Source organism: Homo sapiens, chromosome 1, assembly GCF_000001405.40.
Source record: "Homo sapiens chromosome 1, GRCh38.p14 Primary Assembly".
Lineage (NCBI taxonomy): Eukaryota > Metazoa > Chordata > Mammalia > Primates > Hominidae > Homo > Homo sapiens.
The window spans coordinates 161524332-161541086 of record NC_000001.11 but is presented as its reverse complement, the minus strand read 5'-3'; the positions used below and the strand labels follow the sequence as shown (position 1 = coordinate 161541086).

The following is a 16755-nucleotide window of genomic DNA, read 5'->3' as shown; positions in this document are numbered from 1 at the left end:
TTCTGTGTCGGTGAGGGAGAGGAAAGAGTTTCAGGGCCAGATCATGAAGGGCATTACCTTCCAAACTAAGGAGATCGTATCAGACCCTGCAATACATTGAGAGAGTTTAAGCAGACCAGGTTTGTACCGTATAGTATTTTAGAAGGATTCTCTCGCAACTACTTGATGGATGGACGGGACAGGAGAGTTGAAGACCAGAAGCCAAATAGGGCAGCAAGGCAGGATGCAGTAACCCAAAGGGAGCAATGAGGAAGTAACTGGCGGTGAGGCTGGAGAGGAAGGTGCTTAATCAACAAGGTATTTAGGAGGCCGACTCTCCAAGAATTGGCAGCCAGCAGTACACGGCGTGACTAAGGACCAGGTTCCACACATAGTGCCCGTTTTCTGAGTTAGGAAATAGAAAGGCAAGGCAGGTACAGGTTTGGTGGAAAGACAAACAATTCGTTTTGGTATTATTAGTACTTACTTCCTTTGGTCAGTAAATTTTCTTAAAGTGTCAGTTTCCATAACGTAATTGCCGTGGTTAAGCAGCTAAGAGTTATCACTACAACCCTAGTCGGAAAAACCAAATACCTCAAAATTACCCGTACAGCACTAAGGCAGAAGAGGACATTGGGAACCACACAACGCGGAGGTCTGCTACCAGAGCTCCCTGCGGTTAGCACCGCGGCTGGTTTTGAGCGCCAAGGCCCCAGCGCTCCCAGCGGATAGCATCGCACGCAGTTTTTTCAGTCAAAGTTTCAAAAACCCAGGGTTCACAAAATGCGACTTCCGTCCCTGGGTGGGATCGAACCACCAACCTTTCGGTTAACAGCCGAACGCGCTAACCGATTGCGCCACAGAGACGGGCGTTGGCGATTTTGGCTGCCAAGTCACTTCACTGAAGAAAAAATGCTCAGCACTCACGTCTCCAAAAAAATTGAGGTTGATTTGAAACCAGTGACACAATTAGCTTTCCGTGCTTCAGGGCGCGGCTCATAGCCCTGAGCGAGGCAGGTCTTTTTTCTGCGCTAGCACTTGCCTAGATCTGGAGCAGGACTCAGCTTCCAGCAGAAGAGGTTGAGAAAAGGAGAGCAGAAGAGAATGCAGGAACGAAGGGTCTTCGGGGAATCCAAAATGGATGCTCTCTGTGGGTTCGGGGGTTCCGTTGATTTTGGTCAGAGAAGTACGACGATAAGCTTTTTTTGCTGATGTAGACAACTTATGTATGCATGTGCACACGTTTAGTGCTGACTCATAATAAGCTTATTATCGTGAGCATTAAAAATATTTTCTTTCAGGTCCAATCACGTCCAGCAAAATGTGATGTCTAAGTAAGTGAGTTTTGTGTTACAAAATTAGTCTTCAACCCACGCTGTTTTGAAAGGTTTCTACCGGCATATTAGACATGCAGACAGAACACGGAGCTTAAAAAGCCTGTAACATTCCAATTAATGGTATTCAGCTTGGAAATAAAAAATATTTTTTAAAAAATGCGTGCAACTTAAGGACTTTCATGCTGACATATCCAGATCCAAATATCTGAGGACAGAGACCCCTAATTCCACCACCATCGACCTAGGGAACCTCGTCAGTGCTGGGTCTAAAAAGGCTTTTTTTTTTTCTTTAATTCATATGTATATATACTTTATTCATATATATATATACTTTAAGTTCTAGGCTACATGTGCACAAGGTGCAGGTTCGTTACATATACATGTGCCATGTTGGTGTGCTGCACCCATTAACTCGTCATCTACATTAGGTGTTTCTCCTAATGTTATCCCTCCCTCCTTCCCCCACCCACGACAGGTCCCGGTGTGTGATGTTCCCTACCATGCACACGTATGTTTATTGTGGAACTATTCACAATAGCAAAGACTTGGAACCAACCCAAATGTCCATCAATGATAGACTGGATTAAGAAAATGTGGCACATATACACTATGGAATACTATGCAGCCATAAAAAAGGATGAGTTCATGTCCTTTGTAGGGACATAGATGAAGCTGGAAACCATCAGTCTGAACAAACTATCACAAGGACAGAAAATCAGACACCGCATGTTCTCACTCATAGGTGGGAATTGAACAATAAGAACACTTGGACGAAAGCCATTTTCTATATTGCCCAAAAACCAGGGTCTCTCCATAGCCTCCACACAGAATCTCCTTTCTTTCTGCCCTGCCATCCTCTGTCATCAGTGGGCTCCAGTTTAGGAGCAGGTGGAAGTTTTCAATGATGTTCAGTGAAATGAGAAGACATGCAAACATAGATATGTATATGCAGAAATTATATATGCATATATGTTTATATGTACACAGTATCATATGTATAATAAATAAGTAAATAAATAAATAAATTTGCCAAATGATCTTTAAACTAGAGTCATTTATTTTTTTTATTAATTTTTTTTTTTGAGATGGAGTCTTGCTCTGTCGCCCAGGCTGGAGTGCAGTGGCGCAATCTTGGCTCACTGCAACCTCCACCTCCCACATTCAAGCAATTCTCCTGTCTCAGCCTCCTGAGTAGCTGAGATTACAGTCATGGGCCACCATGCCCGGCTAATTTTTGTATTTTTTTTTTTTTTTTTTTGAGACAGAGTCTCGCTGTCGCCCAGGTTGGAGTGCAGTGGCGCGATCTCGGCTCACTGCAGGCTCCGCCCCCCGGGATTCACGCCATTCTCCTGCCTCAGCCTCCTGAGTAGCTGGGACTACAGGCACCTGCCACCTCGCCCGGCTAATTTTTTTGTATTTTTGGTAGAGATGGGCTTTCGCTATGTTGGCCAGGCTGGTCTCAAACTCCTGACCTCAGGTGATCCTCCTGCCTCAGCCTCCCAAACTGCTGGGATTACAGGTGAGAGCCACTGTACCAGGCCTAGAGTCATTTCTTTTATACTTTAAATTTTTGTCTCTGTTCTTTTGCTCAGACCTGTGGAGCTGGCAATATGGGCAAGTGTCATGGACTGTCTACTGCCAGGAAGCTCCATTGTCACCGACAGGATCAGAAGTGGCATGGTAAATGGTACAAGAAAGCCCATTCGGGCACAGTCCTGAAGACCAGCCTTTTTGGAGGTGCTTCTCATGCAAAGGGAATTGGGCTGGAAAAAGTAGGGATTGGAGCCAAATAGCCCAGCTCTGCCACTGAGAAGTGTGCCAGGGCCAAGCTGATCATCCAGCATAAGCTAGATGCTGTGGTCTCCACTGGCACAGCTGATCCTCTTGTTACAGGATGGAGGCTGTGAGGCAGATGAGAGAACAGCAAGAAAATCACAGCCTTTGTACCTGATGATGATTGCTTGAATTTTATTGAAAAAAATGATGAAGTTCTGTATCAGGGGAACCAGCACCCAATATTTCAATGTAGGTTCTTTTCTATTTTCCCTAAGTGTCGGCCGGTCTGAGAAATGAAGAGAAAGAGTACAAAGAGAAGAATTTTACTGCTGGGCCGCCAGGGGTGACATCACATATTGGCAGGTTCCATGATGCCCACCTGAGCCACAAAACCAGCAAGTTTTTATTAGGGATTCTAAAAGGGGAGGGGGTGTACAAACAGGGAGTAAGTCACAAAGATCACATGCTTCAAAGGGCGATAAAAGATCACAGGGCAAGGCAAAATTAGAATTACTGATGAGGGCCTATATCCCGCTGTGCACGCATTGTCTTGATAAACATCTTAACAGGAAACAGGGTTTGAGAGCAGACAACTGGTCTGACTAGAATTTACCAGGCTGGAATTTCCCAATCCTAGTAAGCCTGAGGGTACTGCAGGAGACCAGGGTGTATTTCAGTCCTTATATCAACCACATAAGACTGAGACTCCCAGAGCAGCCATCTATAGACCTACCCCCAGGAATGCATTCCTTCCCCAGGGCTATCAATTATTAATATTCCTTGTGGGGAAAAGAATTCAGCAATATTTCTCCTACTCACGTGTCCATCTACAGGCTCTCTGCAAGAAGAAAAATATGACACCATTCTTCCCGACCCCACAGGCAGTCAGACCTTACGGTTATCTTTCCTTGTTCCCTGAAAATTGCTGTTATTCTGTTCTTTTTCAGGGTGCACTGATTTCATATTGTTCAAACACAGATGTTTTACAATTTGCACAGTTAACCCAACCATCACAGGGTCCTGAGGTGACACACATCCTCAGCTTACGAAGATGACAGGATTAAGAGATTAAAGACAGGCATAAGAAATTATAAGAGTATTGATTGGGGAAGCGATAAATGTCCATGAAATCTTCACAATTTATGTTCAGAGATTGCAGTAAAGACAGGTGTAAGAAATTATAAAAGTATTAATTTTGGAAACTGATAAATGTCCATGAAATCATCACAATTTATGTTCTTCTGCCTCGACTCCAGCTGGTCCCTCCATTCAGGGTCCTGACTTCCTGCAACAGTTCTGGTTGCTGGATTTGGCAGGAAAGGTCATGCTGTTGGTGATATTCCTGGAGTCCACCTTAAAGTTGTTAAAGTAGCCAATGTCTCTCTTTTGGCCCTATCAAAAGCAAGGAGGAAAGACCAAGCTCATCAGCTTTAATGGTGAAAACCCAATAGTAATAAGTTTTCATTTGCCAAAATAAGTTGTTTTTAAATGTCCTTTCTTTTTTAAAATTAAAATTAGGATAGATGATAGTTTTGTGGCTATTTGTTTTATGAATTTTGCAATTTGGCAAAATGAAAAGTTGGCCACCCTATACTAGTAACCAACTTTTCTGATGTCATTAGAGACAGGGTCTTGCTCTATCACCTAGGTTGGAGTGTAGCTGCACGATCTTAGCTCACTGCAGCCTGCAACTCTCAAGCTCAAGCAATCCTCCTGCCTTAGCTTCCCAAGTAGTTGGGATTACAGGCTTGAGCCACCTTGCCTGGCCAGTAACCAACATTGTGGGGAAATTTTGTTCATCTGTGAAGTTCAAGTTTGGAACTACCACTCTGTGCTTTACCTCCATTGTTGGATTGACAGCAGAAATAAAAAGTTATTAGTTTCCAGTTGATTGTGAATACGTATACATTTCCTATGCTACATTTTACATGTATGTGACAGCAATGCAAAAGCAGGAGAGTAAAAAGGAAGAATTTTTAAAGAATAAAAGAATAATTGAGGTCAGAAGTACAAAACTAGGTGGTGAAATAAATTCAAATATATCAGCTATTTTTTTTTGGAGGGTGGGTGGACAGAGTCTCTGTCACCCAGGCTGGAGTGCAGTGGTGGCATCTTGGCTCACTGCAATCTCCACCTTCCCGGTTCAAGCGATTCTCCCACCTCAGCCTCCTGGGGACTACAGGTACATGCCACCACACCCACCTAATTTTTAGTAGAGATGCGGTTTCACTATGTTGGCCAGGCTGGTCTTGAACTCCTGACCTCAAGTGATCCACCCGCCTCAGCCTCCCAAAGTGCTGGCATTATAGGTGTGAGCCACCATGACCCGGCCTATAACAGTAATTATAATAATGCAACTGAACAAAACCTTCCAGTTAAAAGATAAAATGCATTTTTAAGATCAATTTTATTCTGTTTAGAAGAATGACATTAAAATGTAAAGAAACAGAAAGACTAAATGGAAAAGGGAATGCCAGGAATATTCTAACAAAAAGAAAGTTGGCATTTAGCTATACAATATCAGACAAAATAAAGTTTAAGAAACAATGCATCATTAGGGATGAAGATGGTCATCATATAATAAAAGATTAAACTACTGATGAATATGTAACTGATAAAATGGCATTAAAATATGAAAACAAGAATTAGGCCTACAAGGGAAAATGAACAAATCCGTCGCCACAGTGAGAGAATTCCGCATACTTCAACCTTTACTAGATCAAACAGAAAAAAATTATTAAGCGTGTCTCTTTTTCTTATTTACTTTTATTAAGCATATGAATGCAATTAACAAGCTCAATTTAACAGATATATATATAGAACTGCAATCAATAATTATTAGTTGTACATTCTTCTCAAACTCACATGGGATATTATGAAAACTGACTTTATATGAGGCTGATAAGTTTCTTTTATTTATTTATTTTTTTTTTTTTTGAGATGGAGACTTGCTCTGTCACCCAGGCTGGAGTATGATGGCACTATCTCAGCTCACTGCAACCTCCGCCTCCTGGGTGCAAGTGATTCTCCTGCCTCAGCCTCCTAAGTAGCTGGGATTACAGGTGCGTGTGCCACCACACCTGGCTAATATTTTTCATTTATTTATTTTTTATTTTTAGTAGAGATGGGTTCACCATGTTGGTCAGGCTGGTCTTGAACTCCTGATCTCAAGTGATCCACCCATCTCGGCCTCTCAAAGTGCTGGGATTACAGGCTTGAGCCACTGCACCTGGCTAAGGCCAGTAAGCTTCAACATATGTCATGGAATCAGTACTATATGAAGCACATTTTCTGAACATAAGGAATTTAACTCAGAAATCAATGACAAAAAATAACTTTTAAAAGCCTTCATATATTTGGAAATTTAAAAAAACAAAATTTATGGAATGCAGTGAATCCTGTTATAATGGGGAAATGTATAGCCAGTGGCTATTCTGATTGGTCAGTGCTATATCTGTTAACTCCTCCACAAAAAGAATTATCTTCTGGGTTTTGCTTTTGGCTTTCCCTAGACATCCCAAAAAGCCAGCCCCCATACCTTGGCTGGCCACAGGGAACTCTAGGTGGCCACTTCCAGAAAAACCACTCAGTGAATCCCAACGTGAAGGGCTAACTGAAGCCAGCCTATGGCAGGTGTTGGTTATAGGTCCCTGTCCCTATATGTCTCCCAAGACAGGGCAGCCTGAACACTGATCCACTTAGCGATTGCGCAGTGTCAATCTGGCCCCACACAGCTGTGGCTAGCCACTACCAGTCAGTACTACCCTTTGGTTCTTCTTGCCCGTGGGCACTGCAGCCTCTGTGGGACCTTAGTACTAAGAGTCAGAGAATATCAGGGAGAGCAGGTGGGCAGTAACAGGTTACATTGAAGGCATAAGCTAGATGCTGTGGCCTCCACTGGCACAGCTGGTCCTCTTGTTACAGGATGGAGGCTGTGGGGCAGATGAGAGCATAAGGGAGGTTTGGAGCTAAAGGGTGGCTGAGGTGCAGATGTCCTTTCTTCCCATCCCTGTTGAATTTCACCTCCATTTTAGGGAATGAGACTTAAAATCTCAAACATCATCCCACTACAGGCATTAACAATGGACCCTCCTGGCAATGTTTATACATTTGTAATATATGTTTATATATTAACCCATTGAAGAATTAAAATTATCATCATTATCCTCTTTTACAGGAGGAAATGGAGACAAAGAGAGCCAAGATTCAAACACAGGAAGCACAACAGAGCCCATGCACTTAATCTTCACACTGTGTTGCCTCATCCAGCCTGAATGGTTAGGGTCAATCTAATTATATATGTCATTCCAATAAATGACTTTTGTATAATAAAAGATAACGGATACATAAAACCCTCAGACAGTATTTTAAAGGCTGGAAAATTTGTGAATACAATTGCTGTTAGTTCAACCGGTGACAAAGAACTCAGTATCATAAACAGCATGTTAGGAAAAAGTTTCAACTTATCGAGACTACAAGTCATCTAATGACTATCAGTTTATTAGGAAATTATCAAAAGAGTTTGATTCCCAGCCAAACTGAATCCCTGCCTCTCTCCCATGTAACTCAGTTCCAAATCAAATGCTCAGTCCAGTACATCTGAGCCTTTTGCCAGCAGAGAGGGGGGCCCGAATGGGTTGCTTACTATGAGGCCACTTGGGGGGGTTTTATGGACTGGAAACGGGAAGGAATGTGCTTAGTTTGCCGGCTGTTTTGGAGAATGCGTGATTTAGGTTGGCCTGGGACCTTGGCCTGGGACTAATTAGAAAGCTTGGCCCGGGACCTTAGCCTAGGACCTCGGCCGGGAATAATTAGGGGCTTAAGTGATGATTTGTAGAGGCTGCTTTGCTTGGCCCTAGACCTATTAAGGAACTGAAGTGAAAGCTTGGCTCGGGACCTTGCCCAGGACCAATTAGGGGCTGAACTTGTGATTTATAGAGGCTGGACTTGCAGTTTAAAAAAAGGAAAGAAAAGTGCTTACTGGAACCCACTGGAGCCTACTGTGCCTATGCCTACAAAAAGAGAAGGAACTTTTTCCTGGGAGCCCGCTGACTATACAAAGAACAAAGGCATTTCTATTTCAGGCCTTGTTCCCTTATTTGAGTGAGCTGGAGGTTTGTGCAAGTTTTTATCTCAGAAAGTCGGAGGCTCTCCTATTTGTGCAGCCACCGGCATGTTTTCAGGCGCAACCTCCGGTGCTAGTTTGCCCGAAGCTTGACTTTTTCCCAGGCTGCTTTTTTGTTATGTGGGAATGAGGCACTGACCCGTGGGGCCAGGGGCTCTCCAGAGACACTTCCCTTGCTATCTACCAAGCTAACTAACTCCTTTCAGTTCCCCCTTAGGGTCTCCACTCCTAACTGCTGTTAGGGAGATTGGGTGTTGAATTTTTTGGCAATTTTTTGCTGGAAAGGGGTGTTGTGTGGGGAACAGCAGCTAAGGTTTTTGCGGGGCGGGCGGGGGCGCAGGTTGAAGGGTTTTTGGAAGAAAGGCGTATTTATGCGTGGTTTTATTGCATTGCCCTTTGGAGCTTGATAGCCTTTAGGCGAGAGGAAACAATTTGGGTTACAGCATTGAGTATACAAGGCCTAAACATTAACACAGGCATATAAGAAAAATAGGTGTTAGGAGCTAACTAGGTTTAAAATGAAGACTGGAATTTATTAAAAAGGGATTGTAGCTAACTGGGACTGGAGTTTGTGTTTCTTTTTGTTAATTATTTTAATTTGGTTTTTAAGCTCTTGTAAATTGTTTTTTCTTGACTGAAGAGACGAGGAGAAAAAATAAAAAGCAACTGTAATCTCCCCGTCGGGAGAGCGAACCCCGCTCTCCCGCGTGACAGACGGGGATACGCACCACTATACTAACGAGTACAACCGGGAATATTGCGTTTTTTTTTGGAAATTGTCTTTTAGAAAAAGATATTCCTAAGCTACCAGCATGCTTTCAGGGAAAGTCGCTGACTGTTGGCAAAGTTATATTTCTACTCTCTAGACCGGCACACTACGGTAGAAACATAATTCGAGTCCCACATGTCATTTTTAATAGTCACATTAAAAAGTAAAAAGAAAGAGGTGATAATTTTAATAACAAATCCTATTCTTTAACCCAACGTATGCAAAATATTACAAGTAATCAATATAAAAATATTAATTGGCTGTTTTTTTTTTTCTTAGCTAGTCTTCAAAAATCGCTATGTATTTTACACTTAAAGACGGCACATTTCAACTCGGAAAGGAAATTTTCTTCGGAAAAAAATCCGTATTTAGATTTCATAAAATTTACAATTGAAAAAGTAGATTCAATAGCCACGTTGTTTCAAATGCACTGAAACCTTCTCCAATGGTTGAGTTATTAAGTATCCATTTTAAAATTTTCACTTATTAATTTTATTTCAATTGATTTATTTACTAAGACTAAATTTGAAAATGCAGTTTCTTAGAGAAACTAGCCAAGTTCACGTGCTCAATAGTGCGTGGCTAGCGAATGAACCTCGCAAGTGAAGACACAAGAGCCCCTTTCTGAAGCTAAGACTCATCCCAGGATTGAAATGATCCCAAAGATTCCTCAAGAGTTGGAAGTTTACAAAGGAAGGAAGGGAGGAAAGAACCATCAGAATTTAATCCCTTCAAAAAACGCCTGGGTTTAGAAAGAGGCCAGGGGAAAGACAGGAAGCGAGTACGGAAAGTGAGGTATTGCTGCAGTTTCGTTGAAGCGTAAAACGGATACTTCGTTGAGGCGTAAAACGGATACACAGCGCGTTATAGGTTCTGACTGAGAAAGGTTTTTCGTAGAAGGAAAGACAAAAACCCTTGCGTTGGCCGGGAATCGAACCCGGGTCAACTGCTTGGAAGGCAGCTATGCTCACCACTATACCACCAACGCGTACCCGGTTTGGAGTTTTAGATATCTATATATAAGATAAGCAAAGCGTATGACTTTCCCGACCGTTCTAGCAGTGTCTTTTGTTTATGATCCTGAGGTTAAACAAGCTAAGCCCTCCATTGGTGAGAACCGATTCTTATGAATCAGCCCCGCCCCGCAAACGGCGCGGGGCGGTGAACGCAGAAGCCACCGGCTCTGGAAGCTGGAGGGCGGAGCCGGCTCACAGCCGAGAGAGAAAGCCGCAGTTGAGCATCGCCGGGGGATTTTCCTCCGCCGTCTTCTCTTCCACCCCGCTCTCTTCATGTCCCGTAGCTCCCAGCTCCGCAGCTGTTCGAGACTCCGCACTGGATCCGCCGGGTGTCGGATTCAGCAACAGTGATTGGTGCGGAGGATCCGAGGGAGACGGGCCGACACAGGGTCTACCTTGACATGGCTCGACCCCTCTACAGAAGCAGAGGGGCGCTCGAAGAGTCGCCAGGGAAAATGGAGCCTTAAGGATTAGTTTGGGTAGTGAGGAAAGAGGAAAGAGCTGTCGGAGCCTGTTTCATTTTTCCCGCTTTGCGACAAGGTCTAGAGAGAGTTACAATTTTATTTGAAACAGTAAATAGACACATTAATGTGACCTGATAGCGTGCACCATCAGTATATGATAAAATTAGGAGAAATTAGGAAGCATGGTAAAACATGTGTCAGGATGGCCGAGCGGTCTAAGGCGCTGCGTTCAGGTCGCAGTCTCCCCTGGAGGCGTGGGTTCGAATCCCACTCCTGACAATATGTGTTTTCCGTCCTTACTTTTCCTCCTGATTTGAACCAACCAGCAATTATGTTTGAATTCTTAGAGAAAGACTTTTCGATCGGTCAACACTGCCTTTTATCCTAGGTATCTACATTTACGAAAATTATTTGTGCTTCTCTGCACATATAGAACTATATCTATTTTTCCTGTATTGTAGGCTGGAGTCTGGTCTATGAAATCAGGGAGCAGTTGAGACTAAGATTAACTTTGGACTCCAACTTCCCAGTGTCAATTTATCCATTCTTTTATTCAACAACAATGTGTTGAGCCCTTTCTGTGCGTCAAGCACACTAAGGCAGGCAGATACCATCTCCTTTGACTAAACAAGAGAACGCCCTCAACTCAGGATCCTTTAATTTGCTCTACAGTCTTAGCTGGGTTTTTTTTTTTAACGCTAACGCAGTAGTGTCAAACTTTGGTAAGGATCAGGTTCTCCCACCGCCTTGCCCCGCTCCCCAGCCTTTTTTTTTTTTTTTTTTTTTTTAGACAGGGTCTCACTCTGTACCCCAGGCTGAAGCACAGTGGCTCAATCTTGGCTCACTGCAGCCTCCGTCTTCCCGGTCCACGCGGTTCTCGTGCCTCAGCCTCCCAAGTACCCGGGGTTCGCGCCTGTAGTCCCAGCTACTCCGGGAGCCTGAGGCGAATCTCTTGAGCCCAGGGGGCAGAGGTTTTTGTGAGCCGAGATCGGCTGACTCCAGGCTGCACTCCAGCCTGGCGTACAGAGTGAGACCCTGTGTCCAAAAAAAAAAAAAGTAACATGAATAAAATCTACAGTTAGTCATTAATGTTATACCAATGCCAATTTCTTAGGTTTGATAAATATAACATGGTTATGTAAGGTTTTAACATTAGGGGAAGTAGAAAGGATATAGAGTAATGACTTTATGTAGTATCTTTGCAACTTGTCTGTTCATCTAAAATTATTGCAAAATCAAAAATTCTTTTAAAAAACCAACAACTTGAAAGTGGTTGCCTGTGAGGAGTAGGACCTGGGAAGGGGGCAAGAAACTGCTTGTACCAAGAATTGATTTTTTTAATAATGGGCATGTGTTCTGATTTAATTTGTTCAAACTTTTTTCCCCCCCTTTGGAACTGGGTGACATAGTTGTGATTACAATAATCAAACTAAGACTACATACAATATAAGGATTTTTAGATACCTAGTATACAAGAAACAGTCCCCAAAGAAACTAAACCAAAATGATCAACAGACGTTTAAAAGTAAATAAAGTTTGTTTATATTTCTCTATAGAAAAATAGATTGCACTCAAATGGGAGGATCTGAGATGTCACAACTAAACACGATAAAAATCTTTCTTCTTATATTCTGTGTGTGTTGGGTTTTTTAAAAGGATAAAAGGCATACTATCAAAATACTAAGAAACTATAAAAAAGTGAGTACTATCAATCCTCTTGAGAAGTTCAAACAGGTTGAGGGGGGTCAATGTTGAGAATTGAGATGAGATTCAGGAAAGGAAGAATGTAATGCAGGATGTACGTGTTACTCCATCTCTCTCTCTCTTTTTTTTTTTTTTCAGGTTCCTTCCATGTGAAGCCAGGCTGCGTAAGACTTGGGCCAGGGCCAGGAAAAGAGGGCAGTTAAAAATGTGAAATGACAGCCAGGGACAAGTGAGTTGTTAGTGTAACCTTCTCTCCGTCTTTAAAAAATCAACCTAAGAAATATAATGTATAATGTAGCATTGTTCTAGCCAAGCTCTCCCATAATTTCTGAGATAAAAATAAATCTCCCAATGCCCATAGGGCAAATATACTCTGGATTGGATTGACTGGGAACTAACACAAGTTTATCCTTTTGATTATTTTGTTTACACCAACAAAGCAAAGGCAAATATCCTTGCTTTTATATTGTCATTGACTCAACTGGCAGTAAAGTTGTGCCTAAGGATATTTTGCAGATTCCGTCACTTGCTATAAAAAACACACAACTAGCTAGGCGTGGTGGCTCACACCTGTAATCCCAGCACTTTGGGAGGCTGAGGTGGGCAGATCACCTGAGGTCACGAGTCTGAGACCAGCTTGACCAACATGGTGAAACCCCATCTCTACTAAAAATACAAAACTTAGCTGGGTGTGATGGCAGGCAACTGTAATCCCAGCTACTGGGGAGGCTGAGGCAGGAGAATCGGTTGAACCCGGGAGGCAGAGGTTGCAGTGAGTTGAGATCGCACCTTTGCACTCCAGCTTAGGCGACAGAGCAAGACTCTGTCTCTGCAAGTATACAATAAAATGCACACTTTTTCTCACGGGGCTCAGCATCCAGCTGTGTTTCAAAGGAATAATATGACCAATTTCAAAACATCTAGGGGAAGGTCTGGTAATAAGTGGAGTTATGGCCTATTTGTAAGGTGGCATGCTGAGGCTCTAGACTCAGGCAGGACAGGGTTCTTCATTCCAGCCTTCCTGTCCCCACTTTATAGCTTTGTGTCTTTGAATAAATTGTTTAACCTCTTTGAACCTCATAATGCTCATCTTCAAAAAGAAGATAGTATTCCATAATGCTGCTGTGAAGATTAAGTTAGATTGTGTATGTCAAGTACCTGATACATAGTTATCACCCAACTAACAATTAATAGTAATTGCTAATGTTTGTTGATAGTATATTATACACCTTTCTTCTTTGCCTCTTACATATATTAATTAATTGAACCCTCACAACAGTCTGGAGGTTGGTACTGTTATCATCATCATCATCCCCACTGCAGGGAAGGGGAAACTGAAGCTTGGAGAGTTTAATTTGCACAGTATATAAAGTGGCAGGGCTGAAAATCTATAGAGTCTTGTTCCAACATCCTCATTATGCCATGGGCAGAAACCACATGGGATCATACTATTTCTCTGACATAGATAAAGTCAATAGTAACTTTAATCGTACCACCAGATCTACTTCCTCTGACATATACCATCCTCCAGAGTCCAGGACTCAGAGTCTTTTCTCTAAAAGAACAATGGATAAAGTGACATGATTACAAACAGCTAATAAGCATGTAAACTATTTGTTAGTGTTATTAAAACAGCTAGACTGACAAACTCAACCAGGTTCCTATGACAAAAATACAGAATTTGAATCATAGGATCACACATGGAAACACTGCCAGTACTTAAGTTTCTCTTCATTCTCTGCTTTTCCAATTCCACATCTCTCCCTCTCTCTTCCTGCATTGTAAGTCTCAATCCTCTCCTCTTTACCAGCCCTAACTCTTCAGTACTGTTCCAATGTATTGGCCTCAAATTCTTTTCCAAATCCTGCCTTCCCCTATAGGAATCATGTACACGGTCTCAGGAATATTCTTCACATTCCTCCTTCAGCACCCACCCCAACATTTTCTGCTTCTGAAAGCCTTTGGGTACTTTTGTACTTCGATTGGTTGGAATGAAAAACAAGAAGGAGTTTTAAAAGCTTATTTAGGTCTATAACTATATTTTACATAACAAAATTCATACATGCAAGTAACAAAGTACACAAAATATAGGTGAAAGCAATGTTAAAGTGCCACACAAGTTTTAATAAATTAATGACTTTTTATTTGAAGCAGAAGAGGATGAACCGCCCTCCCCGCAAAAAGTCAAAAGACTTCAGTTATCCTGGGAAGAAAGTTCTAGCTTTGGAGGGAAAGTTCATCTCTGAAGGGCAGGATCATAGAAGACAGTCTAGAAGGCCCATAGCATAGCCCTGACAGTCACAGCTGACTTATCACGAAGGGCCATTCAATCAACCTCCTCAATGATGGGGCCGGTGCTGGGGTCCCCCTGGCGGGCTTGAGTGCCACAACTGCTGCCCCCAGGGACACCAGGCCCCCCATAGAGCCTGGAGAAGATGGGGCGACAGATTTGCTCCAGCTCCCTCTTCTGATGCTCATACTCCTCCTTCTCTGCCAGCTGGTTGTGCTCCAGCCAGGCAAGGACTTCCCGACACTTGTCTTGCATTTTGCGCCTGTCCTCTTCGGGAATCTTGTCCCTAAGGCTTTCCTCTTGCAAAGAACCTTTCACATGGAAGACATGGGCCTCCAGCGAGTTTTTGGCAGCCACTCTGTCCCTCTGGGCCTCATCCTCAGCCTTGTACTGCTCGGCTTCATGAACCATCCTCTCCACCTCCTCCTTGCTCAGCCGGCCCTTGTCATTGGTGATGGTGATCTTGTTAGCCTTACCTGTGCTCCTGTCAGTGGCTGTCACGCTCAGGATGCCATTAGCATCAATGTCAAAAGTCACCTCTATCTGGGGGACTCCACGTGGGGCAGGAGGGATGCCACTGAGTTCAAAACGCCCCAGCAGGTTGTTGTCCTTGGTCATGGCCCTCTCACCCTCATACACCTGGATGAAGACCCCAGGCTGGTTGTCCGAGTAGGTGGTGAAAGTCTGGGTCTGCTTGGTGGGGATAGTGGCGTTCCTCTGGATCAGCGTGGTCATCACCCCACCTGCTGTCTCCAGCCCCAGAGACAGGGGAGCCACATCCAGCAGCAGGAGATCCTGCACTTTCTCACATTTGTCCCCCATCAACACGGCCGCCTGCACAGCAGCCCCATAGGCCACAGCCTCATCAGGGTTGATGCTCTTGTTCAGCTCCTTGCCGTTGAAGAAGTCCTGCAGCAACTTCTGCACCTTGGGGATGCGTGTGGAGCCCCCCACCAGGACGACGTCATGAATCTGGGCCTTGTCCAGCTTGGCATCCCGCAGGGCCTTCTCCACCGGCTCCAGGGTGCTGCGGAAGAGGTCTGAGCACAGTTCCTCAAAGCGGGCACGAGTGATGGACGTGTAGAAGTCCACGCCCTCGAACAGGGAGTCTATCTCCAGGGTGGCCTGGGTGCTGGAGGACAGGGTGCGCTTGGCGCGCTCACAGGCTGTGCGCAGCCTGCGCAGGGCACGCTTGTTCCCGCTCAGGTCCTTCCCATGCTTCCGCCGGAATTCTTCCATGAAGTGGTTCACGAGCCGGTTGTCGAAGTCCTCTCCTCCCAGGTGGGTATCTCCAGCAGTGGCTTTCACCTCAAAGACACCAGCGTCAATGGAGAGAACCGACACATCGAAGGTGCCCCCACCCAGGTCAAAAATGAGCACGTTGCGCTCTCCCGCGCCCCGCCGGTCCAGCCCATAGGCGATGGCAGCTGCCGTGGGCTCATTGATGATCCGCAACACGTTGAGCCCCGCGATGGCCCCCGCGTCCTTGGTGGCCTGGCGCTGCGAGTCATTGAAATAGGCGGGCACGGTGATCACTGCGTGCTTCACGGGCTGGCCCAGGTACGCCTCGGCCGTCTCCTTCATCTTGCTCAGCACCATGGACGAGATCTCCTCGGGGTAGAACGTCTTGTCCTCCCCGCGGTAGCATACGCGCACCTTGGGCTTGCCGCCCTCGCTCACCACCCGGAAGGGCCAGTGCTTCATGTCCGACTGCACCGTGGTGTCCGCGAACTTGCGCCCGATCAGCCGCTTGGCATCGAACACGGTGTTGTGGGGGTTCAGGGCCGCCTGGCTCTTGGCCGCGTCCCCGACCAGCCGCTCGGTGTCGGTGAAGGCCACGTAGCTGGGCGTGGTGCGGTTGCCCTGGTCGTTGGCCAGGATCTCCACGCGGCCCTGCTGAAACACGCCCACGCACGAGTAGGTGGTGCCCAGGTCGATGCCCACCGCGAGCTCCCGTGGGGCCTGCATGGCTGAAGCTTCTTGTCGGATGCTGGAGGCCACGGAGGCTGCTGCCGCTCCGCCGTCGAGGGGCGCTCAGCAGTGAGGCTCTCCCTGCGGTTTCTCTGCAGCCAGCCCGGCTCGGATCTGCTCAGCTCCGCTTCCACCGGCTTTTTATCCTTTTGCGCCTCACCCGACCCCCGCCGCCGCGAACTTTCGCGAACCTTTCCGCACCTTCCCGCACCTTCCCGCCCAGTTGAGAGCCTCTCGCCCGCCCGGGCTGACTCAGCCGGGTGGCGCGGCGCGGCGCTGACCCCGGGAGAAGGTTCGGGCAGATCGGGGCATGAGCCGCGAGGC

General features: G+C 45.1%; 1 protein-coding gene, 3 non-coding genes and 1 pseudogene across 4 annotated transcripts, besides 2 other annotated features; 2 read left to right on the top strand and 3 right to left on the bottom strand.

Annotated features, from left to right (window-relative positions):
• Window positions 641-870: a silencer, noted in NCBI's record as "silent region_1482". NCBI's record gives its function as "represses an Ori minimal core promoter by ATAC-STARR-seq in GM12878 lymphoblastoid cells {active_cell/tissue: GM12878}" and the evidence as "EXISTENCE:reporter gene assay evidence [ECO:0000049][PMID:35858748]".
• Window positions 773-846, bottom strand: TRN-GTT1-1 (tRNA-Asn (anticodon GTT) 1-1). Its single transcript has one exon. It is a non-coding gene; the product is annotated as a tRNA-Asn (tRNA).
• On the top strand, window positions 2927-4516 carry RPS23P10 (ribosomal protein S23 pseudogene 10; annotated as a pseudogene).
• TRG-TCC2-6 (tRNA-Gly (anticodon TCC) 2-6) lies at window positions 9903-9974 on the bottom strand. Its single transcript has one exon. It is a non-coding gene; the product is annotated as a tRNA-Gly (tRNA).
• Window positions 9950-10009: a silencer, noted in NCBI's record as "silent region_1481". NCBI's record gives its function as "represses an Ori minimal core promoter by ATAC-STARR-seq in GM12878 lymphoblastoid cells {active_cell/tissue: GM12878}" and the evidence as "EXISTENCE:reporter gene assay evidence [ECO:0000049][PMID:35858748]".
• Window positions 10663-10745, top strand: TRL-CAG1-6 (tRNA-Leu (anticodon CAG) 1-6). The gene has a single exon. It is a non-coding gene; the product is annotated as a tRNA-Leu (tRNA).
• Window positions 10746-14192: 3447 nt separating this feature from the next.
• HSPA6 (heat shock protein family A (Hsp70) member 6) lies at window positions 14193-16547 on the bottom strand. Its single transcript, NM_002155.5, has one exon. The coding sequence runs from the start codon at window positions 16426-16428 to the stop codon at window positions 14497-14499; it is 1932 nt and encodes a 643-aa protein (NP_002146.2). The 5' UTR covers window positions 16429-16547; the 3' UTR covers window positions 14193-14496.